The sequence below is a fragment of the Homo sapiens genome, chromosome 17, assembly GCF_000001405.40.
Source record: "Homo sapiens chromosome 17, GRCh38.p14 Primary Assembly".
Lineage (NCBI taxonomy): Eukaryota > Metazoa > Chordata > Mammalia > Primates > Hominidae > Homo > Homo sapiens.
Window position 1 is genome coordinate 39,028,325 of NC_000017.11, and position 26,476 is coordinate 39,054,800.

At 43.9% G+C, this 26,476-nt stretch overlaps 1 pseudogene across 1 annotated transcript, besides 1 other annotated feature; it reads left to right on the plus strand.

Moving 5' to 3' along the window:
* Window positions 1–1,581: 1,581 nt before the first annotated feature.
* On the plus strand, window positions 1,582–24,881 carry LRRC37A11P (leucine rich repeat containing 37 member A11, pseudogene; annotated as a pseudogene). The gene is made up of 5 exons (NR_033753.2): window positions 1,582–4,113; window positions 5,846–5,917; window positions 14,875–14,955; window positions 16,064–16,617; window positions 24,541–24,881. The product of NR_033753.2 is annotated as a leucine rich repeat containing 37 member A11, pseudogene (transcript).
* Window positions 17,752–18,951: an enhancer, noted in NCBI's record as "MED14-independent group 3 enhancer chr17:37202329-37203528 (GRCh37/hg19 assembly coordinates)". NCBI's record gives its function as "activates an origin of replication core promoter dependent on BRD2, BRD4, P300/CBP and CDK7 cofactors, and independent of MED14, by STARR-seq in HCT116 cells {active_cell/tissue: HCT116}" and the evidence as "EXISTENCE:reporter gene assay evidence [ECO:0000049][PMID:35650434]".
* Window positions 24,882–26,476: the final 1,595 nt, after the last annotated feature.

Here is a 26,476-nt window from a genome sequence, read left to right on the forward strand (position 1 = left end):
CCTATTTGTATCAAAACCTCAGTGTCAGAAACAAACTTTGCAGGATGAGTATTTAGATTCAAGTATGGATACAGTGTATCGCAGCAGCCTGCCTCCAGAACTCCAGATGAACTCAGATGAGCCTCCAGGGCCCCCTGAGAGAGTTGGACTTTCTCAATTCCATGTAGAGCCTGAAACTCAAAATCCAGAGACCCTTGAAGAGATCTAGTCCTCTTCATTCCAGGAAGAAGCCCCAGAGCAGCTTCCACAGCTCACTGAAGAGGCAGAACCTTCTTCAACCCAGCAGGAGGCCCCAGCTCTGCCTTGAGGGGGTCCACTCTTCTTCAACAGAGCAGGAGGCCCCAGCACAGCAACTACCTGCCTCTGAAGAGATTGTAGCTCTGCCATTGATACATCATGAGGTAAATGTTCCATTGAAAAGTTGGAGTGAAGCTCAGCACTCACACTTGCGCAGTGTCACAGTCAAACCTGTGGATGTGGAGCTTGCGCTAACTCCAGAGCCAGAAGGAACTTATGTCAAGCCAGGAACAGGCCTCTGCTCAGCCTCCAGAGCGCGCCAAAGAGGTGGGCTCTTCCTCAACCCAATTAGAGGCCCCAGCTCAGACACCAGAGCGCCCTGAGGAGACGAAACCCTCTGCAACCAGCAAGGGACCCCAGCTGAGCCTCCAGGTCCTCTTGTGGAGGCTGAACTTTCCCCCAGTGAGCAGGAGCAGCCAGCTCAGCCTTCTGAGTTTCCTGTGGGGGGTGGGGGGGTTGAACCTTCTGAGACCCAGCAGAAGGCCCCAGCTCAGCCTCCAGAGTCCTCTACAGAGAGTGCAGCTCAAACTCCATCAAAGCATGAGGTGACAGTTCACCCTCCAGGTGAGGATCAAGCTCATTATAACTTGCCCAGCATTACAGCGTTACAGTGAAACCTGCGGATGTGGAGATTACCATAATTTCAGAACCTACCAAGGAGGCAGAATCTTCTCCATCCCAGCAGGAGATCCCAACCCAGCCTCCAGAGGAGGTGGAAGCTTCTGCAACCCAGGAGGAGGCCCCAGCTGAGCCTCCAGGTCCTCCTATGGAGTGTGCACCTTCCCCCAGTGAGCAGGAGCAGCCAGCTCAGCCTTCTGTGTTTCCTGGGAGGTTGAACATTCTGAGGCCCAGCAAGAGGCTCCAACTCAACTTCCAGAGTCTTCTATGGAGAGTGGAGCTCAAACTCCACTGAATCATGAGGTGACCATTCACCCTCCAGGTGAGGATGAAGTTCCTTTTGACTTGTCCAACGTTACAGTTAAACCTGTGGATGTGGAGGTTACCATAACTTCAGAGCCTACCAAGGAGACTGAATCTTCCAAAGCCCAGCAGGAGGCCCCAGCTCAGCCTCCAGAGGAGTGGAACCTTCTGCGAGCCAGGAGGAGGCCCCGACTGAGCCTCCAGGTCCTCCTGTGGAACCTGAACGTTCCCCCGGTGAGCAGGAGCAGCCAGCTCAGCCTTCTATTTCTTCTGGGAAGGCTGAATCTTCTCCAGCCCAGCAGAAGGCCCCAGCTCAGCCTCCAGAACATCATGAAGTGACAGTTTCACCTCCAGGTCACTGTCAAGCTCAGCATTCAGATTTGCCCAATGTCACTATTAGGCCTCCAGACATGCAGCTCACTATAGCAACAGAGCCTACTGCAGAGGTGGGAAGTTCTCCAATCCACCAGGAGGCTACAGCTCAGGTCTCAGGGCCAGGAAGTGATGTAGAACCTTCTGCCACCCAGCATGGTGGTGCACCTCTGCGTCCAGAGTCATCAGAAGATGCTGGACCTTTAGCAGGTCAACAGGAGACTTCAGTTCAATCTCCAGAACCTGTTAATAATGAGAACCCCTCTCCAACCCAGCAGGAAGCTGCAGCTGAGCATCCACAGACCCCTGAGGAGGCTGAGTCTTCTCCAGCCCAGCAAGAGGCCCAACCTCAGACTCCAGATCCCCCTAAGGAGGTAGAACCTTCTCCAGTCCAGCAAGAGTTCCCAGCTGAGCCACCAGAGCCCCCTAAGGAGGTTGAACCATCTGCAACCCAGCAGCAAGCCTCAGGTCAGCCTCCAAAGTCCACTGAAGAGGTCAGTCCTCCACCACAGCAGGAGATACCAGCTCAGCCATCAGAGCCACCTGAGAAGGTCAAACCATCTCCAGTCCTACAGCAGACCCCAACTCAGCTTTTAGAGCCACCTAAAGAGGTAGAATCCTCTCCAGTTCAGCAGGCAGGCCCTGCTCAGTCCTCAGAGGCCCCTGTGGTCATAGAACCCTCTCGGACCCAGCAGATGGCCCCATCTTCACCTCCAGAGCTCCCTCAGGAAGTGGAACCATCTCTTAACTCAGCAGGGGGTTCCAGCTCAGACTCCAGAGCCCCCTATGGAGGCAGAACCTTCTCCAATCCAGCAGGAGGCCACAGTTCAGACTCCAGAGCCCCCTATGGAGGTAGAACCTTCAAGCCAGCAGCTGGTCCCAGCTCAGCATCCAGAGTCACCTAAGGAGGTTGCAGCTCAACCTCCAGTGCATGAGATGACAATTCCAATAGCAGGCCAGGACCAAGCCCAGATTCCAGTATCACCCAGTGTCACATTTCAACCTTTAGACCTGGGACTTACCGTCACTCCAAAATCCACTATGGAGGCTGAGTATTCTACAACCCCAAGGAAGACTACAGCTCCTCCAAAACACCCTGAGGTGATGCTTCCACCTCCTGACCAGGTTCAGGCTCAGCACACAAACCTAACAGGTCATAGTTCAACCTTTGCACCTGGAACTTACCACAACTCCGCAACCATGTTTTTTTCCTCCAACCATGAAGAACTCAACTCAGCTTCCAGAGACACCTACAGAGGTTGCAGCTCAACCTCCAGCTCATTATGAGGTGACAATTCCAACACCAGGTCAGGATCAAGCTCAGCATTCAACACTGTCCAGTGTCACAGTTCAGCCTTTGGGCCTGGGGCTTACCATCACTCCAGAATCCATGACAGAGGTTGAACTTTCTCCAACCATTCAGGAGACCCCAACTTAGCCTCCTAAGGAAGTTGTACCCCAACCTCCAGCATATCAAGGGGTAACAGTTCCAACACCAGGTCAGGATCAAGCTCAGCATCCAATGTCACCCAGCGTTACAGCTCAACCTTTGGACCTGGGACTTACCATCACTCCAGAACCCACTACAGAGGTTGAACATTCTACACCCCTGAAGAAGATTCCTCCCAAGCACCCTAAAGTGACACTTCCACATCCAGACCAGGTTCAGACTCTCCATTCGAACCTGACTCAAGTCACAGTTCAACCTTTGGATCTGGAACTTACCTTAACTCCAGAATCCACTATGGAGGTTGAACCTTTTCCAACCATGCAGAAGACCCCAACTCAGCCTCCAGAGCTACGTAAGGAGGTTGTAGCTCAACCTCCTGTGTATTATGAGACGTCCATGCCAACACGAGGCCAGGATCAAGCTCAGCATCCAACATCACCCAGAGTCACAGTTCAACCTTTGGATCTGGGGCTTACCATCACTCCAGAATCCATTACAAAGGTTGAACCGTCTACAGCCCTGATGACTACAGCTCCTCCTCCAGAGCACCTTGAGGTGACACTTCCACCGCCAGACAAGGGTCAGGCTCAGCATTCAAACCTGACTCAAGTCACAGTTCAACCTCTGGACCTGGAGCTTACCATAACTATAGAACCTACTATAGATGTTAAACCGTCTCCAACCACGGAGGAGACCTCAACTCAGTCTCCAGACCTGGGGCTTGCCATCACTCCAGAACCCACTACAGAGATTGGATATTCTACAGCCCTGGAGAAGACTATAGCTCCACGTCCAGACCAGGTTCAGACTCAGCATCGAAACCTGACTGAAGTCACAGGTCCACCTACTGAACTAGAACCTACTCAGGATTCACTGGTGCAGTCTGAAAATTACGCCCAAAATAAGGCTTTAACTGCACCAGAGGAACAGAAGGCCTCCACAAGCACCAACATATGTGATCTCTGTACCTGCGGAGATGAGACGCTGTCGTGTATCGATCTCAGCCCAAAGCAGAGGCTCCGCTGAGTGCCTGTGCCAGAGCCCAACACCTACAATGGCACCTTCACCATCTTGTAAGAATCACCTTTCCTCCATTGTCTTCTGTGTCCTGCCTCACATGGCAGCCTTTTCCTGGAGGCCTTCCTGGGCCTTCTTTATCTCCCCAAGCTATACTGACAACTAACTTTCTGCTTTCACCTCTGCCGGTAATCTCTTCTTTCTCGTCGTTCTCCTTTACTATTAGGCCCCTTCTCCAGTCTTTTACTTGTGATTGCTCTTACTTGTTTACTTGTCCATTTTCATTTAGCCCCATCGCATCATTGCTTAACCGCTGCTCTCCTCCCATTTTCGCTTCACCCTCTTCACAGCAGCCTGTCCCTCTCCCCATCTCAGTGATGATGCTCTAAATGGTTAAGAGTTGATTCTAGAGCCAGGCTGCCTGGGTTTGAACCCAGGGCTGTCATTTATTAGCTTGATGACCCTGAGCAAGTTATTCTGCTCTGTGACTTAATTTCCTCATCTTTAAACTGGGGATTATGCTAGTTACCATTTCATAGGATTGTTGTGAAATTTAGGTGAGTGAATATATGAAACACTTCATCAGTGCCTAGCATATGCAGGAGGGTTGGCTGTGAACATGATTACTCAGTCTTTGAGTTATGTCCAGAACTCATCTTTGTCCCTGGCTTTCTATATGTAGCACTCATTTTGTGTCCAACCCAGAGCCAAGTATGCTACTGTCCCTAGAACACGAAAATGGTAGGAGGGAAGAAAGAGAATAGGCATAAAAAGGGAGGTATATATAATTAAGTACTAAAAGATAATGCAGACCATCGGTGCTAGAATTCACCAAAATCTGTGATCTTGAGATTTGGAGGTCAGAGAAAGCTACATGGATAAGCTAAAACTTTACGTGGGGGTTAAAAAGTAGCTATAATTTGTTAAATAGGGGAAAAAATGGGAGTACAATCTAGGCAAAGGCATGGCTACAGATATGATGAGAATTTAGTAGACCAATCTGGCTGCAAAGAATCAGGCGAGGGAGCGATGAAGAAATGATTATGTAAAACCTTGATTATCAGGTATGGGAGTTTAAAAGTTACACAGTGAGATATGGGAAGCCATTGAAAGTTTCCAACCAAGAGAGATTAAATGATTAAAACAGGGAGGATTATTTTATTTTTTGCATAATGTTCAAGTGTAGACATGCAAAGGATTATTTTAGAATCCATATGTAGAATGCCCTAGAGGGGAAAGCTTAATTCAGGGAGACAAAATAGAAAGGTCTAGCAAAATCTAGGAGTAAAGTGTGAAGGGGCTAAATCAGATTGGTTGTGATAGGAGTGAAAAGAAAAAAGCCTAGGATGTTTCAACTGAGGGCACTGGGCCAAAGCTTTGGTGTTATCCGGCATAGGGTTTCTTTCTTCTTATTTGTTGATAATAATAAGCTTTTGCCCATTTTTCTGTTGAGGTATTTACCATTTTTGATTTGTAGAAGGAGTTAGTTTAGACACATAAGTGATTTTGGATAAAGTCCTTACATTCAAAGTAATTAACCGGCATTATCTGTCTAAGAGATGGGATGGATAGGAAGTTAAGCTTCCGGGAGATGCCTCATTTGTGCCAGTGGTCCCACATTATTTCTTGATTAATTGTGCAAACTGGGAAGCTGATAGCTCTGGAAATGAGAAAGCAGGTGTTATTCTCTGTTTCTGAATATCCCCCACAAGGTTGCCATGATTCTTTTACTTATCCTGTTCATTCTTTTCCTACCTATTCAAGGATATGAACTGTGTTTCTTCACAGAAATTTCCAAGGAAACTATATTTCTTACATTGGTGAAGATGTATGGAAAGCATACAGTTGGACTGAGAAACTGTGAGTATATTCTCTCCAAATATGACAAAAAACTAACTGCATTGTAAGATCCTTCTTGGTACAGAATTTTGAGGTCGGTACCTCTGAGAAAACATGTTTCCCTTCCATACCCCAAATGAACCTCTGTTGATTGCAATCGTGTGGTAATTTTAAAATTAAATTTGGTAGGCTCTCTTTAAAATAAGAGTCAATTTAAATTTATTTTTATTATGCAAATAATACATGGGTATTTTTTTTTCTTTTTCTTTTTTCTTTTTTTTTTTTTCGGAGACAGGATCTTACTCTGTTCCCCAGGCTGGAATGCAGTGGTGCAATCACTACTCACTGCAGCCTCCACCTCCCAGGCTCAAGTGATCCTCCCATCTCAGCCTCCCAAGTAGCTGGAACCACAGGTGCATGCCACCACTCCCACCTAATTTTTTATTTTTTGTAGAGACAGGGTCTCCCTATGTTGCTTAGGCTGGTCTCAAACTCCTGGGCTCAAGTGATCCTCCCACCTTGGTCTCCCAAAGTGCTGGGATTACAGGCATGAACCACCACTCCCAGCCCATGATTATATTCTTAATGTATAAAAATGAAATAACAGCTATAACAAAAATCTTCCTTGTGTCCTACTCCCTCATCCCTGAGGTAACACTCTGTGTTTAGTATATAACCTTCCAGACTTTTTCCCATTTGCCTACATACATATTTACATAAAGCAAAATAGATTTGTTGTGTGGTTTTAAAAATCTTTTTTCTTTACATAAATGGTAACATCTTGCAACTTGATTCTTTCACTTCATGATGTGTCTTAGATTTCCTTCCTTCCCAGTACTTAGAGGGTTACCCCATTCATTTAAACTCCTGCATAATATTCCATAGTATGGATGTATCATAGTTTATTTAATAGTTCCCCCATTGATGGATGTTTAGATTATGTCTAGTTTTCTTGTTACATGCATTGCTGCAATGAAATCCATGCTTCTTTGTGAACATGGGCAAGTATTTCTGTAGAATAGATATCTAGAAATGGAATTGTTGGAGTGAAGCCTATGTAGATATGAAATTTTAATTGCCGTCAAAAATGTTGTGCCTACTTACACTATCGTCAGCAGAGTATGACAGCATTCATTTCCCCACACCTTTTCACCACTGGCTATTCTCCAACTTTTTGTTGATGTTATGGATGAATAAAAGGTATCCCATCTAAATTTGAATTTTTCTGATTACTTATGAATTTAATGAAATGTTTTTATGTGTTTATTGAACATTTGTGTTTCTTCTCTGAGTTTTCTGTCCTTTGTTCATGATCTCGTTGAATTTTTAAAATCATTTTCACATTGATTTATAGAAGGAATTCGACACATAAATGATTTTGGAAAAAATGCTCACATTCAAAGTAACTGGCTTTTTTTTTTTTTTTTTTTTTTAATTGAGACAGAGTCTCGCTCTGCCGCCCAGGCTGGAGTGCAATGGCGCCATCTTGGCTCACTGCAACTGCCACTGCCCGGGTTCAAGCGATTCTCATGCCTCAGCCTCCCGGGTAGCTGGGACTACAGGTGCGCACCACCATGCCCCGCTAATTTTTTTGTATTTTTAGAGATGGGGTTTCGCCTTGTTGGCCGGGCTGGTCTTGAACTCCTGACCTGAGGTGATCCGCCCACCTCGGCCTCCCAAAGTGCTGGGATTATAGACGTTAGCCGCCACCCCCGGGCAGTAACTGGCATTTTTTACAACAGTTTGTGTGTCACATTATTAGTTCAACTTACATAGACAAGTTATACACGAGCTCTAAATTAAAAATAAAACACATGACAATCATAGTCATCTAAGAAGAGGAATTATGACCACTTTAAAGTAGTTTCCCTCACCCTTAGTGTGATATCTTATTGGTAAGAAAAAAAAATGCTAGAACCAGACAATCCTGTTTTCTAGCTCTAGAGGAGAGATGGGATTCTGCGGCTTGTGTTCCAGATGGAGTCTCCTGATAACAAGAAGGTGTGGGAGATGGCTAGTAAGGGAGTGTACACCCTTCCTCCAGGGCTCCAGGACCCTGCCCCCTTTCTAACACCAATTGTTCCTGCCTGGAGGAAGACACTCTTTGCTGCCTGGCCCAAGGAAGAAAGATATGTGGTTGATGTGCCTCTGGCTTCTCCCACTCCACTGTCCCAACCAATAACTTGTAGGTAGTTCCTGGGCATTTCTGACAGGGGATCATTTGTAGAGATGCTTCCACATTTTGAGCTAAGTTTGTGGATTTTTAAATTATTTCTGTTCTATGATTTTTAGAGATTTGCTAGAGGTTGGATGGGTAGAGACTTGGCATGTTTTCAATCTGCCACTTGAAATACCACTTCTTAGGAAAACAATTTTGTGCCCTTATTATATCCTAGAGAAACTCAGGCAAAAGTACTATCAGGATACAAGTATAAGAATGTTCAAAGCAGCATTCTTTGTAATAACTAAAAACTAGAAATATCTCAGTATCCATACCCAGTAGATGAATCAATATATTGCAGTAGAATCATATAATGGAATACTCTATTATTCTATTATATAATAATAGAAGTATGTTAATACTTTATATAGTAATAGAAGTATTATTAATACTTATTAAAAGTATTATGTGTGTGTAATACTGAATGGAAGGATTATTAATACTTCTATTATTCATTAGAAACATAATGCAAGCCACATACATAATATTAACTTTTCTGGTAGTCACTTAAAAAATAAAACTAAAAAAGAAACAGGTGAAACATGTTAATATATTATATCCAAAATATTTTCATTTCAACATGCAGTCATTATATATGTTATTAATGAGATATTCTATTTTCATACTAAGTCTTCAAAATATCCAAAGGGGTATCATTTCTACATGTTGTTAGTATAAAAATTAATTGGGGAGTTTACATTCTTTTTTCCATACTAAGTCTTCGAAGTCTTAATTTGGTTGCTAAATTTTTATAAAAAAAAAAACCTTAATCTGTTCTGCTCAGCAGTCTAGGGAGACAAGTAAATAATAATAATAAAAATACTTAACCTGGCTGGATGTTAGGTAGCTCATGCCTGTAATCCCAGCATTTTGGGAGGCATAGGCAGGAGGATCACTTGAACCCAGTGGTTCAAGACTAGCCTGGCAACACAATGAAACCACATCTCTACAAAAAATTAAAAATATTAGCCAGGCATGATGGTGTGTGCTTATAGTCCCAGCTACTAGGGAGGCAGAGGTGGGAGGATCACTTGAGCCTGGGAGGTCGAGGCTGCAGTACGCAGTGATTGTGCTACTGCTCTCTAGCCTGGGCAACAGAGTGAAACCTTGTCTCAAAACAAACAAACAAACAAAACACCTTAGTCTATATTTAGATTTTGTAAAATTTGCAGTTGAAAAAGTAGCATCATATACCCAAGTTGTTGCAAACATAAATTTTCTAATGACTACATTGAGTATCAGCTTTTAAATTTAAAAATAATTAAAATGAATATATTAAAGATTCAGTTCCTCAGTCACACTAGTCACTAACAGTAGCCAAATATAGCTAGTGACTACCTTATTGGAAGCACAACACAGGCCTTGAAATGAATCAATCTCAGCAACATACATCTTAAATGTCCAAACAGATTATTGAGTGAAAGAAGTGATACAGAAAATAATATGTGTAATATGATTTCATTTATATAATGTTCAAGTAGGCAAAACTAAAATATGTTGTTTATGACTGACATATAATAGGTAAAACGACATTTTATTTTATTTTATTTTATTTTATTTTATTTTATTTTATTTATTTTTGAGACAGGGTCTGCAGTGGTGCAAATGCAGCTCACTGCAGCCTGGACCTTCCATGCTCAAGCGATCCTCCCATCTGAGCCTCTCCAGTAGCTAGGACTACAGGTGTGCACCAACATGCCCAGCTAATTTTAAAATTTGTCTAGAGATGAGGTCCTGCTGTATTGCTCAGACTGGTCTCGAACTTCTGGGCTCAAGCAATCCTCCTACCTTGGCTTCCCAAAGTGCTGTGATTACAAGTGTGAGCCACTGTGCCCAGCCAGAACTACATTTTACTTTACTATTTTATTTTATTTTATTTTATTTTATTTTATTTTATTTTATTTTATTTTATTTTTTGAGATGCAGTTTTGTTCTTGTCGCCCAGCCTGGAGGACAGTGGCGTAAACTCGGCTCACAGTAATCGCTGCCTCCTGGGTTCAAGCAATTCTCCCATCTCAGCCTCCCAAGTAGCTGGAATTATAGGCGCCCACCACCATGCCCAGCCAATTTTTGTATTTTTAGTAGAGATGGGGTTTCACCATGTTGGCCAGACTGGTCTTGAACTCCTGACCTCAGGTGATTCACCCGCCTTGGCCTCCCAAAGTGCTGGGATTACAGGCGTGAGCCACTGTGTCAGGCCAGAGCTACATTTTAAAAACAAGAAAATTATTACGAAAGTCAGGATAGTGGATATCTATAAGGGTTAGAGAGGGGGTTGTGATTGGAAAGGGGCACACCTGGGGCTTCTGGGATGCTAGTAATGATCTTTCGTAATGATATTATATGGGTATCTGCTTTATAATTATTAAACTGAATATTTGGCCAGATGCAGTGGCTCACATCTGTAATTGCAACACTTTGGGAGGCTGAGACAGGGGGATCACTTGAGCCCAGGAGTTTGAGACTAGTCTGGACAACAGAGTGAGACCCTGTCTCAGAAATAATAAAATAAAATAAAAACAACATTTATGTTATGTGCACTTTATGCACATTGTAGTTCTCAAATATTTTTAATGGGAGAAAAAAGTCAAATGGCTTCACTTGCAGCCCTGACATAGTTCCATGTGGGGCTTTTATAACAAGGTTTGGGAAAAGAGAGGAGGAAATGGAAGTTCTGCTGATCTTGGTGCCACCCAGAGTTGGATTCTAACAGGGACTTTGTGATCTAGAGAGGAGGCATTAAATATACAATTTGGTGGGAAGAGTGGGTAGGGGTGTGCTTGTGTGTGTGTGTGTGTGTGTGTGTGTGTGTGTGTGTGTGTGTATGTGGTGGTGGTGGTGGTGGTGGTGGAGACAGATGGACACAAAAAGGAAAATGTAAGAAAAGCTTTTAATGAAAGCAGAGCAGATACCACCATCTTGAAATTATCATGACCCAGATTTCCTCCACATGTAGGAGTTAGTCCTGTGTAGCAAATAGTTGTAGTTTGCATTTTGATCTAGAAAATAACTTTTTCATTTTCCAGAATTCTCAATGAAAATTATTTGACTAAATTACATAGGGATTCATTTGAAGGGCCTGCTATCCCTCCAGTATTTGTAAGTTAGTTAGTTAATCATATTTATTAGTTTTTAGTCATATTATCTGTAAAATGAATATAGGGGTTCAAATTAGATAATCTCTAAGATTTCTTTCAGCAATACAATTCTGCAATTCTGTAAGTTTGTATAGGGTCTCAGCCCATCTCTAGCATTAATACCTTCTATGCATTTTCAATTTTTTAATTATATAGACAGAATACAGACAGAAAAGAATTTCACATGGTAATAAGATCTGAGCAGTGATTGACACCCATATGAACCTTGTTTTATAAAAAGTGTTCACATCTCATCTTCCTATATTCAGTCTACAACCAATAGATCAAATCTAATCTACAGTCTGTTTTTAAATAGCCCATTAAGTTAAGAATGGTTTTTACACTTTTAAAGGACTGGGAAAGAAAAAGAAAAGAAACAAAGAGAAATATGCAACAAAGACCACATGCGGCCCACAAAGCCTAAAATATTTACCAACTGACCTTCCCAAAAAAGATTTGGGTCCGGGCACGGTGGCTCACGCCTGTAATTTCAGCACTTTGGGAGGTCGAGGTGGGAGGATCACCTGAGGTCAGGAGTTTGAGACCAGCCTGGCCAACATGGTGAAACCCTGTCTCTACTAAAAATACAAAAATTAGCCAGGCATGGTGGCAGACGCCTGTAATCCCAGCTACTCGGGAGGCTGAGGCAGGAGAATCTCTTGAACCCGGGAGGCGGAGGTTGCAGGATCATGCCACTGCACTCCAGCCTAGGCGACAGAGCAAGACTCTGTCAAAAAAAAAAGAGAAAAGAAAGATTTGAAAAAGTTGCTTTAGTAGAATGAAAGGAATTAAAGTTAACTTCAGATTGTTGCCTAAAGGAGAAGAAAATATAGACTACCTACATTAATTTGAATATCATTAATCCAGAATTTTTTGATAATTTAATCTAAATTAAATTAACATTTATATATTAAATAATAAGCAGCTGAATTATATAAATAATATTATCAAGAATATTAAGCTACCAAAAGAATAGCCTGGTATTAAGGATTTCATTTCAGGAATTGTTATATTAAAACAGATGTTTAAAATGATGGTTAAGTGGTATAGCTAGAGTGTTTATAGTAAGTAAGCATATCAGAAATGCCCCTAACTCTTCACTAATTACAAAATAACTATGTCCTCAGCCCTGTTACCAAGGAAGGGATACCTGCATAGTATTTCTGTCTGTTTAGAGATAAGAAGATACTATGTTCATTGCTATGAAAGCTGGATTTTTATCCTTTGCCCATGGTTTAGAGGTGTGTATGTCATTAATCCTCATTAAGCTCATTAGTGATGCTTTTTTGCAGACAGATTCTTTCAAATGTAGAAGGCTTAAGGAAAGTGGGTGTAAAGACCCTCAGGTGGATGCCAAAGCGCTACAGAGGCCATGAAGTAATAAAACTATATTTCCTTTAAAATAGTCATTTTCCTTCTACTCACTGCCCCAGCTATTCATTTATTTTATAAATATGTGAGTTCATTTTATTTCCATGTGTCAGTTTTAAACATGGTGGGCAACGCAGATGAGCAAGAGCTAGTCCATGCTTTCAAGGAGTTTATGCTCAGAAGAAATGGGATGAAAAATAAGTACATTCAAAAGAAGAAATGGATGTGGGCACTAGGAGGGATACATTGTTTCTGGAGCATAGAAGAGAGGAGATTGACTTCAATTTGGACCCATGAAGATGTTACTAGAACAATGCCATTTGAATAGGACTTTGAAGGGCTGCTGCGTCACATCAGACAAACATGTTGGGGAAAAGATTCTAAACTTGCAAAAGGAAAATGGGAGAGGGGCAAATCACAGGAAAGTATTTGAGGAATACCATGAGTACCTGTAGAGTACAAGGAGGGAGAGTAGGAAATTGGAGCCAGATCTTCTAGGGCTTTGAATGTCAAGCTAAGGGGCCATCATACGGACCAGTGTTATCACAGCAGTGCTGTGAGATAGAGCTGCATCACAATCACTGGGAGGTCGCGTTAGAACTCAGTTCTGCACTCTACCCTCGCAGTTACTGATTCAGTTGGTCTAGAGTGGGACCAAAAATTTGCATCTTCAGTAATTTCCTAGGAGATGCTGATCTTTGCAAGCCACTTCTGGAGAGTTTATCTGATGACTGTGTGCAGGATGGTTTAGGAAGGGAGAGACTAGAGATGGAGACATCAGCCAGACAACGTTACACCATCCAGGTAAAGAGGGAGGGACAAGCTGACAAGCTGGAATCAATGGAAGTAAGAGTTAACTGGAGTCAAGAATGGGTGTTGACTACAACCGTTTTTATTTGAAAAATAAAAATCTAGTTCCATGTTGTTTTGTTGCCCCATCACTGTATAAGTGAAGAAATTGCTTTCATGGAATATTAAAGCAATATGAAACCAAAAAAGAATTTATATTAATATGACAGAAATTAATTATATTAATATGATTTGAATTAGTTCAAAGTTATGTATTAGTTAAAGGGGTAACTTCCTTTCAGATGATGTGAAAGGATGTCTTTTATTTCTTCTGATATTGAACTGGCTTAGGAAAACAGACCTAAACTAGGAAGGTGAGACTATTCCTTTTAATATCAGAAACTATATATAAGGATAAAAACTTTGAGCTTACAATCTAGGATTTGATGAGACTACAAAAGGTCATCTAATCAAGTCTACTGCTCTCAGGAAAAATTAATTCCAAAGTCTATCAAGATCTATAGTTGTATATTTTATTTATTAAAACTATGAAGGTGAGACTCTAGGAGAGGTACTGGCAGGGTTAGGGACTCTGGGAAGTTCAAATACAAGTCTAAAGATTTAGAGTTTAGACGAAAACCATGTATTCAATGTTACTCTAAACCCTTCCTATTTATTCCTACTAATTTGACATCTAATAACTAATCAAGGCAATATTTTCCTTTTACTTTTCCTAGAGATTTATCCTGCAATAAAATACAGCCTATTGAAAGACATACATTTGAACCACTACCATTTTTGCAGTTGATGTAAATTACAAATATAACTCGATTACATTTAGAACTTTAATAAAACTTAATGATAAACCTCTTTGCTATTCATTTTGAAATATGATTAAAATTTTAAAAGTAGAAAGTTACTAAAATTATACAGCAAATCCTCTTTGTCTCTAGGAAAGATTAGTGTAAGAATTACTACAGAGATCATAGTGAATCATCAGAGAGCAGTGGTTCTCAACCAGTGTGATTTTGCACCCAGGTGACACTTGGCAATGTCTGTAGACAGTTTTGGTTGTCACAACTGTGGTGTCCTCCTGGCATCTGGTGGGCAGAGGCCAGGAATGCTGCTAAATATCCTACGAGGTACAGGACAAACCCCCACGGCAAAGAATTATATAGTCCAAAATGTCGATGGCCCTGAAGTTGTGAAATCCTGTCCTACAGAAATAAAGATCACTTAACATAAGTATTTACTGAGCATTCACTCTTTTGTATCTAATGCACCACATGTGCAATGTTAAAGTATAAATCATAAGCCAGTATCTTCCACAGTGAGATTTCTTTAGTGCATAAAGTATTGAGGTTATGTTCCATCCTATATAAATTAGAATCAATGCAAGTGATACATGTTCTGAAAGAACATACATATTTTTCTTCTTTGGCTTGTGTCTTTTTTGGTAGGAATCTTGGTTGCAATTTACTGACAGAACTGAGCTTTGGAACCTTTCAGGCCTGGCACGGAATGCAGTTTTTACACAAGTTGTAAGTGAAATAGAAGATGAATACATGTAAACAACTATTTACATGTAAGAACCTCATACAATTATTGGTTAGCTGGGTATAAGCCCATTATGGATTCTGAAAAGCATGTCTTAAATCCATTCGTTTTTTCAAATGGGGAAACTAAAGTACGAAGAGGCCAAGAAACTTATATAGTTTATATATGACCTGCCCTGCTTTTCCTAGTTCTGACCTTTGGCATGGGCAAGAAAAGGCATGAAACAAGTGACCCTATTGGCACAATGGTCTCAACACAGCAAATGTATGTTGGGGGCTGGGCTCCTTTGTTTTGGGTCGAATCTTTCTAGTAAACAGAACTAATTTGCTTCAGGAAACATTTGCTGCAGTGAGATATATGCCCATTGCATTTCTTTCCAAAGGCAAGTTGCCAAGCGAAGCTGCCAGTAATTTTGTGACCGATATGACACTATTCTGTGGTGTTTGTAAGTTGAAACAGTATATTTTATTGCATTACAAAAGTTTGTTAAAAAAAAAAAGGGGGGGCCCCAGCTGTGGTGGAATGATGATGAATTGAATAGAGCCTCAGCATCAGGGCTTCTCACTTGCACGGTCCTGGGAGGCCCTTGGGAATCGTTGTATTCATACTTTTCCATGTTTTTATTATTAATAGGTAAGGTTCAGGCCCCATAAAATCCTGAAATCACCCTGGGTTCCAATAATTACAATTTTGAATGAAGCCTCTATGTTATTGACAAATACTGATCAGCCGAGTTAGCGGTGTGGTAGGGTCAGTCTATTTTGAATTTGAAACCCATCCCAAGGATATAGCAAGAGCTTATTAGCGGACTTAACTGGGGTCCACTGGCCCAGCACAGTAAAGCCAAACCATTCTGAGGTTTTGCAGTGGGAGAAAGGAGCACATTGGTTTGCAGGGCGCCAAGCAAGGAGGACCAGGCAGTTAACAATCAAAGTCCCCCTCTGAATGGTAGCAATAATCATATCTCTTACAGATGAAATCAGGAATGAAATGGTCTATGGAAAACCAGCAGTGGTTGATAATACTAAATGTTAAGTATGTACATATTTTTTCCCTGACTTTAAAGTGCTTCTCCTTCATTTACCTACACAGGTCCGGATTGATGGCTTATTTTAAAAAATTTTCTTACTCACTTCATTGGTTCTAATAATACAAGCTCCATAATTTTGGAAACTGAATGACTCTGCAATGTAGAAAGGCTATACCTTGGCCCGGCGCGGTGGCTCACGCCTGTAATCCCAGCACTTTGAGAGGCCGAGGCGGGCGGATCACAGGATGCCCGGGCATTTGTAGAGAACACTGCCAAAGAAAAAAAGGCTCAGGAGTCCAGCCCCAAGGGAGCTGGAACAGCCTCACATGGTGCAGGGGCCAAGAAGTTAGCCAAGAACTACTTCATTTCCCACCCCCCATCAAATGATGCCAAGGAGACTAACTCCGAAGAGGACTGATGTAAAATGCTTCTGCCCAGCATGGGTGTTCACTGCACGAGAGCACTTGGCCAAGGGGGTGAGTGGGGCTGAAAATCCTGCTCAGGCTCCATGCTGAGCCACATACAAAGTCTCCCCGAGACATTGTGGGGCCCTTCTGGACAGACATGGAGAGCTTCTGAAAGTCCCGCATGCTTGGAATTATTTTCAAGACCCCAGGTATGTGGTCTGCAGTGGTTCTAATCACTGTTACTATGGACTGAGGTACTCATTTAGTCCTAATAAGACCAGAGAAGTACATTGTGAGAGGCGTGGGAACGGCAGCATCACTCACTGTCTTGTCCACGTGTCTCCCCGGAGGCATTTTCAGATTTCTGCCACATAGGAGATGCTCATGGCGAACTGAAACTCAGGTACATTGGAGGATTCATTGCTGTGGCCAGAGAAAGCAGAGGACATGCAAAATGCATATTTCCCTATCCTCCAGGATGGCTTTGTCTAGTTAAGACAGCCACTCTGGCTTAGGGGTATGTACAGACCTCCCAGTGCTGCACGCGTGAAAAACATGGCACAGAAACCTCACGGCAAGGAGTCTTCCAACAAGGATGACATCTTTCACAAGGACGTGGAGTAAACGACAGAGCCTTCGTGGTTCCCATCTAAAATGAAGAGGGAGTGAAAAGTTGAATTGCTCCTTTCAAGAATCAACAAGCTTGGCATTTTAATTCCTATCCCAGGGGCAGTGAAGCCCCAACAGAGAAAACTCAAACCAGAAAGTCGTCTGGCTGCTGAGCGGGAGGAGTGTGAGGTCCCCTGGGAGGACCTCAGGCCTCAGGCCTCTGCAAACTTGGGAAACTGCTGCTGAGGTCCTTCCAGCTCCATGGTCCCCAGGCTGGTGACTGATGGGGGAATATGGAGTCCAGCTGACTACCAGAGCCTGCATGTCTGCTGCTAGCCGGGAGGAAAGGATGACTTCTACCTCCTTTCCATATTCCAAATTTTACATGACTGCATTTTTTTGGCAGCACCCTGCTGGCAAAGGAGACTTGACGTGTGGTTCCTGGGCTTCTGTCACCTGCACAGACAGGGGTGAAATGAGTGTCACAAGCAGCCACCACTCTGCAGCATACCTCCACATCTAGGCGTGGTGGGGAGCCCCACTTATACTTGGAGGTGTCCTGGCACCCTACCCACTTTTTGGTAGGTGTTTGGGTGTCCAAGGCTTTGCAGAAGAAGCAGGCAGGGAGTCTATGGTGGAGTAACGTGGTGGAGAGGCCTGGAGAGGTGTCATTCTAGCTGGGCAGCGGGTGACACGCAGTCATCCCCTCAGTGAACGCTGGACGTGCTCTGTGGCTCCCTGCAGGCCTGCGGATCCACCAGGGGGCTCCGTTCCTTCTGGGCCAAAGCTGAAGAAGCGGCTGCTGCACCAGAGAAGTGCATCTGGATGAAGGTGGAAGCACACGCGGGCCCGCAGAACCGCCTAAGATATCTTCAGGTGTGGGCTTGGAACTGGTAGGCTTTCATTTCTGCTTCATTCCATGGCCAAAGCAAGCCACATGGGCAAGTCTGAAGCCGGGGCAAGAAAGTATCCTCCACCCACAACGAAACCATGGCAAGCGGTAGGTACTAAGAGGGCTGAGGAATTGAGGCCAATAGTTCTATCTATCCAAGTGAGTGAGGAGCTCTGCTTTGGGGATTGCACAACCTGGGTCTGCTCTTGCTGTGGTGTCTGTCACTATGAACATGACAACATGGATCGCCATCAGGTCAGGGACCCTGACAAGGCAAGAATCATGTCCTCCTCTGCACACAACCCCACTCCCTTCCCCACCATGCCTAACACCAAGCCTGGCCCTCAGGGATGACTCAGGAGAGCATTTTAGGCCATTCCTTCATTATCCCCATGTGACTTGTTGATAAAGATAAGTGCCTCTTCAAGTTCACCTTTTTGAATAAAAGGGATTTATTTAAATATTTCTTTTAAATCTCCACAGCTTTTCATATCTCACACTAACAGATCTTTTATTCTACTAATAATTCTTTGTTAAGCCCAAGTAGTTGTTAAATGGAGTAAAAGAGTGAGTATATTCTGTGTTCTTATATTGTAACCAAGGCCTATCTCATTTTTTCCCTAAGTCTGTCCAGACATGCCTGAACATGCCCAGGCATGTCCCAGCTTGCAGCCTATGCCCCTTCCTTATTTGGAAATGTTATTGCCTTCCTAGTTTCCTGTAAAAAGTCCCCTCCCTTCCTTTGTTTCCCATTGCACCTTTACCTATTTAGGAAAATTTCAAGGTTTTAGCCAGTCGGGATCAGTTTAGATTGTGAGGTGCAGCTCCAACCAGTGGAGGTAGGACACAGCAGTAGAAGCCCAGTGCGTCAGGGATAAGAACTCCTGCCTTTCTTTGTTCAGTGTGCTCTCGTGGCAGTCCAGCTTCCAAGAAGCACCCTTTCTGCAGAAAGTAAATTTGCCTTGCTGAGAAAATTATTTAAGTGCTGGTTCTTCTTTGCAGCACTGAGGAACAAGCATTTGTTTGCAACACTTGTTATGAAATATAGACTGGGCTGGGCGTGGTGGCTCACACCTGTAATCCCAGTGCTTTGGGAGGCTGAGGCAGGTGTATCACCTGAGGTCAGGAGTTCAAGACCAGCCTGGGCAACATGGTGAAACCCCATCTCTACTTAAAATACAAAAATTAGCTAGGCATGGTGGCATGTGCCTGTAATCCCAGCTACTCGGGAGGCTGAGGCAGGAGAATTGCTTGAGCCCAGGAGGTGGAGGTTGCAGTGAGCTGAGATTGCGCCATTGCACTCCAGCCTAGGTGACAGAGACTCTGTCTCAAAAAAAAAAAAAAAAAGAAAGAAACATAGACTTATTTCCTAAAGATCAGCACATAGTGCTAAGTATTTCCCCTGTAAGCTGTAAACAGACTCTGCCATTTGAAACTGGGATCTGTCCCCAGATGTGTCAGACCACCAAATCCCATGTCTACTGCTGCCCTCCAGAAGAAAGGGTTTATACAGAGCCAAACACCAAGGCAGGTTAGTGAAATTACTCTAAAGGCCATTTAAAGCTGGAAAGAGGCTCACCACCTGAAATGCCCTAAGAGGAAGGCTGTCTAGGGATCCAGATGGGACTTAAGGACAATTTTTTTTTGACACAGTCTCATTCTGTCTTCCAGGCTGGAATGCAGTGGTGCACTTGGCTCACTGCAAGCCTCAAGCTCCTGGGCTCAGGTGATCCTCTCACCTCAGCCTCCCAAGTAGCTGGGACTACAAGCATGTGCCACCATGCCCAATTAATTTTTTTTAAGATTTTTTTTGTAGAGACGGGGTCTCCTTGTGTTGCTCAGTCTAGTCTTAAACTCCTGGACTCAAGCAGTCCTCCTGCCTCTGCCCCTCAAAGTGCTAGGATTACAGGCATGAGCCAAAGCACCTGTCCTCTTAAGGACAATTTTAAGAATAGTGAGGCTCACCGTCAGAGCCCCTGCTGCTCTACAAAGCCCCTTGGCCCCTCTCATCAGGATAAAAGCAAGAGCAGCCCCAGATGTTTTGTCTTAATGGCCATCTTTCTCAGGAGACTTTGCTCTTTAAAGGAGAACCACTTAGAACTATGATTAACTCTAAAGAATGCCACCAGCACTACTGAATGCCAGGCATGGGCCTCATGGGTGAAGAGTATATTTTAGAGCAGTGATTCATGGTAAATTATCTCCCCCAGCCCCTAAAATTGACTATTCAATGTCAAACTATCTCAGGCTCAGGCCGACAAAAGTGGAGGTGTGACGAACCTAGGGTTGTTTCGAAGTGTCTTGGTTACGGTATATGTGGAAGATTTTAGAGCTTGTTGTAAAAACATGATGACCCATTGCTCTCCAGGCTGGGTGAGGGATTGCCTTTGTAGATTACAAGAGGATATTATGCAGCAGTTTTTAAAAATGAGGCAGACTAGGCCAGGTGAGGTGGCTCACGCTTGTAATCCCAGCACTTTGGGAGGCCAAGGTGGACAGATCACCTGAGGTTGGGAGTTCGAGACCAGCCTGACCAACATGGAGAAACCCTGTCTTTGCTAAAAATACAAAAATTAGTTGGGTATAGTGGCAGGCACCTGTAATCCCAGCTACTTGGGAGGCTGAGGTAGGAGAATTGCTTGAACCCGGGAGGCGGAAGTTGCAGTGAGCCGAGATAGCGCCACTGCACTCCAGCCTAGGCAACAAGAGCAAAACTCCATCTCAAAAAAAAATAAAGGTGGGGGGCAGACTGGGGCAATCTGTCTCCAGAATACATAGGTGCTGTTAAGGGAGTAAAGCAAGATGTAGGAGGGCGTGTATAGTATGCTACTGTGTGCTGTGCATTAGCTGTACAGAATTGTGTGGTCCGATACAGTAGCCACTAGCCACATATGGCTACTTATGTATAAATTTAGGCCAGGCAGGGTGGCTTATGCCTGTAATCCCAGCACTTTGGGAGGCCAAGGTGGGAGGATAACTTGAGGCCACAGCCTGGGCAACATAGTGAAACCATTTTTCTACAAAAAAATTTAAAAATGTAATAATTGGCCAGGCACAGTGGCTTGTGCCTGTAATCCCAGTACTTTGGGAGGCCGAGGCAGGTGGATCACCTGAGGTCAGGAGTTTGAGACTAGCCTGCCAACATATAGTGAAACCCTGTCTCTACTAAAAAATACAAAAATTAGCCAGGCATGGTGATGCACGCCTGTAGTCTCAGCTACTTGGGAAGCTGAGGTAGAATCGCCTGAACCTGAGAGGCAGAGTTTGCAGTGAGCTGAGATAGTGCTGCTGCACTCCAGCCTGAGTGACAGAGCAAGACTCTGTCTCTCAAAAAAAAAAAAAAAAAAAGTAACCAAACATGATGGTGTGCATCTGTAGTCCCAGCAACTCAGGAAGCTGAGGTGTGAGACTAGCTTGAGCCCAGGAGGTCAAGGTGGCAGTGAGCTATGATTGCACTATTGCACTCCAGCCTGGGCAACAGAGTAAGGCCCTGTCCCAAAAAATAAATTTAAATTTAAATTAATACAAATTAAATACAGTTTAAAAGTCAGCTCCAGTTGGATGTGGTAGCTCACACCTATGATCCCAGCCCTTTGGGAGGCCAAGGTAGGAGGATCGCTTGAGGCCAGGAGTTTGAGACCAGCCTTGCTGACATTGCAAAACCCCATCTCTACTAAAAATACAAAAAATTAGCCAGGCGTGGTGGCGGGCGCCTGTAATCCCAGCTACTTGGGAGGCTGAGGCAGGAGAATCTCTTGAACCTGGGAAGCAGAGGTTTCAGTGAGGCGAGATGTGCCGTTACACTCCAGCCTGGGCAACAAGAGCAAAAGTCCGTCTAAAAAATAAAAATAAATAATTTTAAAGGAATATTTGTCAGAGGATCAGAATAGAATGTACTTTATTTAACAGCCTTTTAGTTTAATTTATAATTTGCAAATATTGAGACAGATGGCCTGTGGCATCCATCTGTCCTCTTGCCCTGAGCTGCACGTCCAGACTTGACTCATAGGCCCCAGCTTGGGTTTTCCAGTTCTTTGAATAGGTAGGAATCTACCCAGGGCTCATGTTTTTCCCAGCTGTGGGGCTGGGGTGGAGGGTCCCTCTGGTACCCCTTTGAATGCTGCAGAAACCAATTTCCAGCATGTGGTCCTGGGCTATGGAAACCTCTCCTTCTGCCTGGGACTCTCACTCTCCAGAGACGAGTTCATTCAGGTCATCTGAGGCCCCTGAAGATTTTTGGCCACAAATGGTTCCTCATAAAGTGGTGCCCCCAGGATGTTCAGCCTCCCCACAACCCCTGCAGGCTTCCTATCCCAGGGTGCCATGTGCTACTGCCCTGCTGGGAAGAGAAGTCTGGAGGGGCACAGGGCAGCACTGCCAGCTTAGAAGCCCCTTGTCCTTTCTTTCTGTCAGATCCTGCCGCCCTGTTCCAGAGGGAAGAGTGGTCTGTCAGTAACAAAATTTCTTCTGTCTTGCCCCTTTTTTGCTACAGTTGGTAGAAATTCGTCCCAGACTTCTTTGGTAACTAATGATGTTGGGATGTTGTGGCCTTCACTGGGAGGAGACAGGTTGTCAGGTCATCCATTTCACAGATGGTTGACCCGATGCCAACCATAACAGGCAGGTCTCCTTTGGCTGCAAGTGACAGAAACCCAATTCAAACCTGTTCTGTGAGTAGGGACATTTCTTGAACCTCAGAATTGAAGGAAGGGGAAGGGTGTGTTTGGGTCCCAGAAAGGGTGAACCGTGGGACTAGAATCCCATCCAGCCTCTACTCCCTCTTCACGGAGGCTTAGCGCCTCAGATGGGTTGTGTACTCTGGCCCAGCACCCACAGGCTTCCTGTGAGAAGCTGAGCAGCTTTACTTGCTTCCACTTCCAAATGTAGTGACTGGCACACAAGCATTCCTATGCCTATGGGGGGAGTGGCGGGGGACAGGGCCCTGGGACTGGCAGCCCCCGCTAAAGCCCCATGAGGGAAGGAGTTCCCCCAAAGGCAGTGCTGTTCTCAGACAGGAAGGGAAGAGTCAGTGCTCTCCACTCTGTCCCGCCTGGCCATTTTCCTCACAGATGTCACCTGTCCTTCCAGGCCCAGCTGCTATTTCTGCCTGACGTTTGGCCAATTTGCATGGTTAAAACCAGTGTATTTCCAGGAGATGGATGATGTTACAGAACTAGGGTTCCAGAAGGCTGGGGTGGCCCGGCACTCCCGCCTTCTTTAGAACACGGAGAGCTATTAGTTAGACAGGGCTGAAGCGTAGGTGGCGAGGAAGAGGAGGCTCCTACTGCAGATGGCCTTGTTCTACTGGTCCTCCCAGAAATTCCTGGGCCAGCTGGAACCCGGGGTCAGAGAGGGATGGGAGAGAGGTAGGCTGTGAAAGGGGATGCGAACACACCTTCTGGAGCCACTGTCTTCCTTGAGGGGACCCCGAGAGGGGGCTTAATGGGCAAGGATGGAGCTTCCTGCTTCCCGAGGCTCAGCGACACCTATCTCTGAGCGACCCTCCTGAGTTAGTGTGGGGTAGTCAGTTGTTGTTTGCCTGAAATTCTAATTTAACAGGGGATCTTGTAAATTTTATTTGCTGAATCTGTTAGCTCTGGGGGTAGGAGGATGAGAAAAGCAAAAGAATGGCCCCAAGCTCAGGCCACTGTGGAGTGAGACAGAACAAGAGACCAGAGAGGAAACAAGCCCACCAGGGTAGCCATCTTGTCCAAGCAGAAACCGCCTGACACCTGAAGGCGGTGGATGGAAGAATTCAGGCCTCTGCCCCCTCAGCAGCATACACCTAGTTTAGGGGAAGGACATACCTTCCCTCAGTGACAGAAATAGCCCCAGATTTTCAGTCTTTACAATCTATACATCTGACAAAGGACTAATATCCAGAATCTACAATGAATTCAAACAAAGTAAGATAAAAAAAAAACCCATCAAAAAGTGGGCTAAGGACATGAATAGACAATTCTCAAAAGAAGATAGACAAATGGCCAACAAACATGAAAAAATGCTCAACATCACTAATGATCAGGGAGATGTAAATCAAAACCACAGTGTGATACCACCTTGCTCCTGTAAGAATGGCCATAATAAAAAAAAATCGAAAAACAGATGTTGGCGTGGTGCGGTGATCAGGGAACATTTCTACACTGCTAGTGGGAATGTAAACTAGTATATCCACTAAGAAAAACAGTGTGGAGATTCCTTAAAGAACTAAAAGTAGAACTACCGTTTGATCCAGCAATCCCACTACTGGGTATCTACCCAGAGGAAAAGAAGTCATTATTTGAAAAAGATACTTGCACACACATGTTTATAGCAGCACAATTCACAATTGCAAAATCATGGAACTAACCCAAATGCCCATCAATCAACGAGTGGATAAAGAAACTGTGGTATATGTATATAATGGAATACTACACAGCCTTAAAAAGGAATGAATTGACAGCATTTGCAGTGACCTGGATGAGATTGGAGATTATTATTCTATGTGAAGGCCAGTGGAGGAAAGGCCAGAGGGCTAGCAATGAAGGGGGTTCTGGGCATTGCTCTATATGGGAGACTCAGCAAGAACTGGGTCACGTGTGTGGAGAAGTTACTGAGTGTGAGGCAAGAACCATGTCTTTTTTCTCCACAGGGTAGAATGGAGGTTGCACTATTCGGGCCGGCCACTCTCCTACTGGCTGACAGGATGCTGCCCGAGATGAAACAGGGTGTGTGTGCACCACGGAGTCAGTCCAAGACTCCTGTTCTCACTCAGGGATTCTTCATTTCTTCTTCCTATTGCCTCCACTTCATGTTATTTTCTTCCCTTCCCATTTACAAGTAAAACTGACCAGAGCCCCAGGAATAAATGGTTTTCTTGGCTTCCTCCTTGCTCCCATCTGGACCCAGTCCCCTGGTTCCTGTTGGTCATTTGCAAACCAAGAGGACCACAATAAACAAATCTCTATTTTTTTTTTAAATATTAAAGCATTCACTCTGCAAAGAATGTGTCAATTTATTCATTACTAATTCTATGTATATTTGAGTACATAAGACAGTAGGAGTGTACTAGGTACGAGAAGGAAGATAGAACTATTTTTCTTGAGGTGTTCATAATCTAGGTGGAGAAGCAGAGACATCCACAAACATTACAAGAGATTATTAAATGTATAATAAAATCCGTATTTATTGCTTTGAAACAGTATTGGCGTCCAAAAATTCCTCCGAAGAACAATTTTTGAAGTAAAACAGAAAGCTCAGAAGTAGGCAATGGGTGAGGCTAAGGGTCTGGTGTTGGGGTGGAGAAAGTAGTGATGGGATGGAGAAATAGTAGCAGATGACAATGATTTGGGGGTAATTTGGGAGAATAGGCTAGGATCTAGATGATTTAAAAAAAGGCTTCTCTGAACAGGATCTGGTTTGCTTGGAGGGTGCTGATGTGGAGTAGAACATGTTTAAAGAAAAGGCAAAGGCAGAACAGCGACAGTTGAAGGAATATCCAGCATAAAGCCACCATCAGTAGTGTCTGACCAAGCTGGGGTTTTATCTTGGACCCCTCGTTTCTCTACCTCTGAGCCTTAACAGCTTCTACCATAAAAGGAGAGATTTGACTATTCAGTGGTTCCTAGACTTTTGTTTTTCACAGGTCATAAAGTGTAAAAAAAATTAAACCTGAGATTTTAAATTTTTAATTATAATATCCAAGTAAGAGCATTAAAGCAACTATATTTATCCAACTATCCTCTATTTATCAGCATCTTTTTATAAAGGGAGGTCATACTTGTAGGAGAATGGAGTGGAATCTATTTTATTTTATGAAATTATTAAAAACCTAATTATATTTTCCATATTGTCCTCATTTTGTAGAGTAGGGGTGGAAACTTCATCACAGCATGGGTCTGAGGACCATTATTTAGAAACCACAAGAGACTTGTCCTGCAGGGTCTCATCTGGCTTTGACATTCTAGGATTAAAGTAAAGAGCAGTAGGACCCACTTTCCCTCTTGTGTTACTGAAACTGCCTTTACAAAAATTATGACAATTCCGACCTAACTGACTCCATCTTGCTTCTAACCTCCAAACTGCCCTTGCTCATTCCTGGGCACAGGCCAAGCTGACTATGGGAGGAATTTAGTTTATTGTTTAACTTTGAAACAAAGATGATAATCCCTTCCTAAAACAAATCACCTCCTTGCTTGGGAATCAGACGTCCCTTGTAAGACTAACAAATTAGCCACAAGATTAGATATTATAGCTCAGGAATTATGTAACCAGAGGCCACAAGATTTCAAACCTACCCAATTGCTCCTATAGATAACATTGTTGTAGGCTGGGCACAGTGGCTCATGCCTGTAATTCCAGCACTTTGGGAGGAGGGGGGTGGATCACTTAAGGTCAGGAGTTCAAGACCAGCCTTGCCAACATGGTGAAACCCTGTCTCTACTAAAAATACAAAAATTAGCCGGGTGTGGTGGCAGGCACCTGTTACCCCACCTACTTAGGAGGCTGACGGGGGAGAATCGCTTGAACCCAGGAGACGGAGGTTGCAGTGAGCCAAGATTGCGCCACTGCCTGGGCAACAGAGGGAG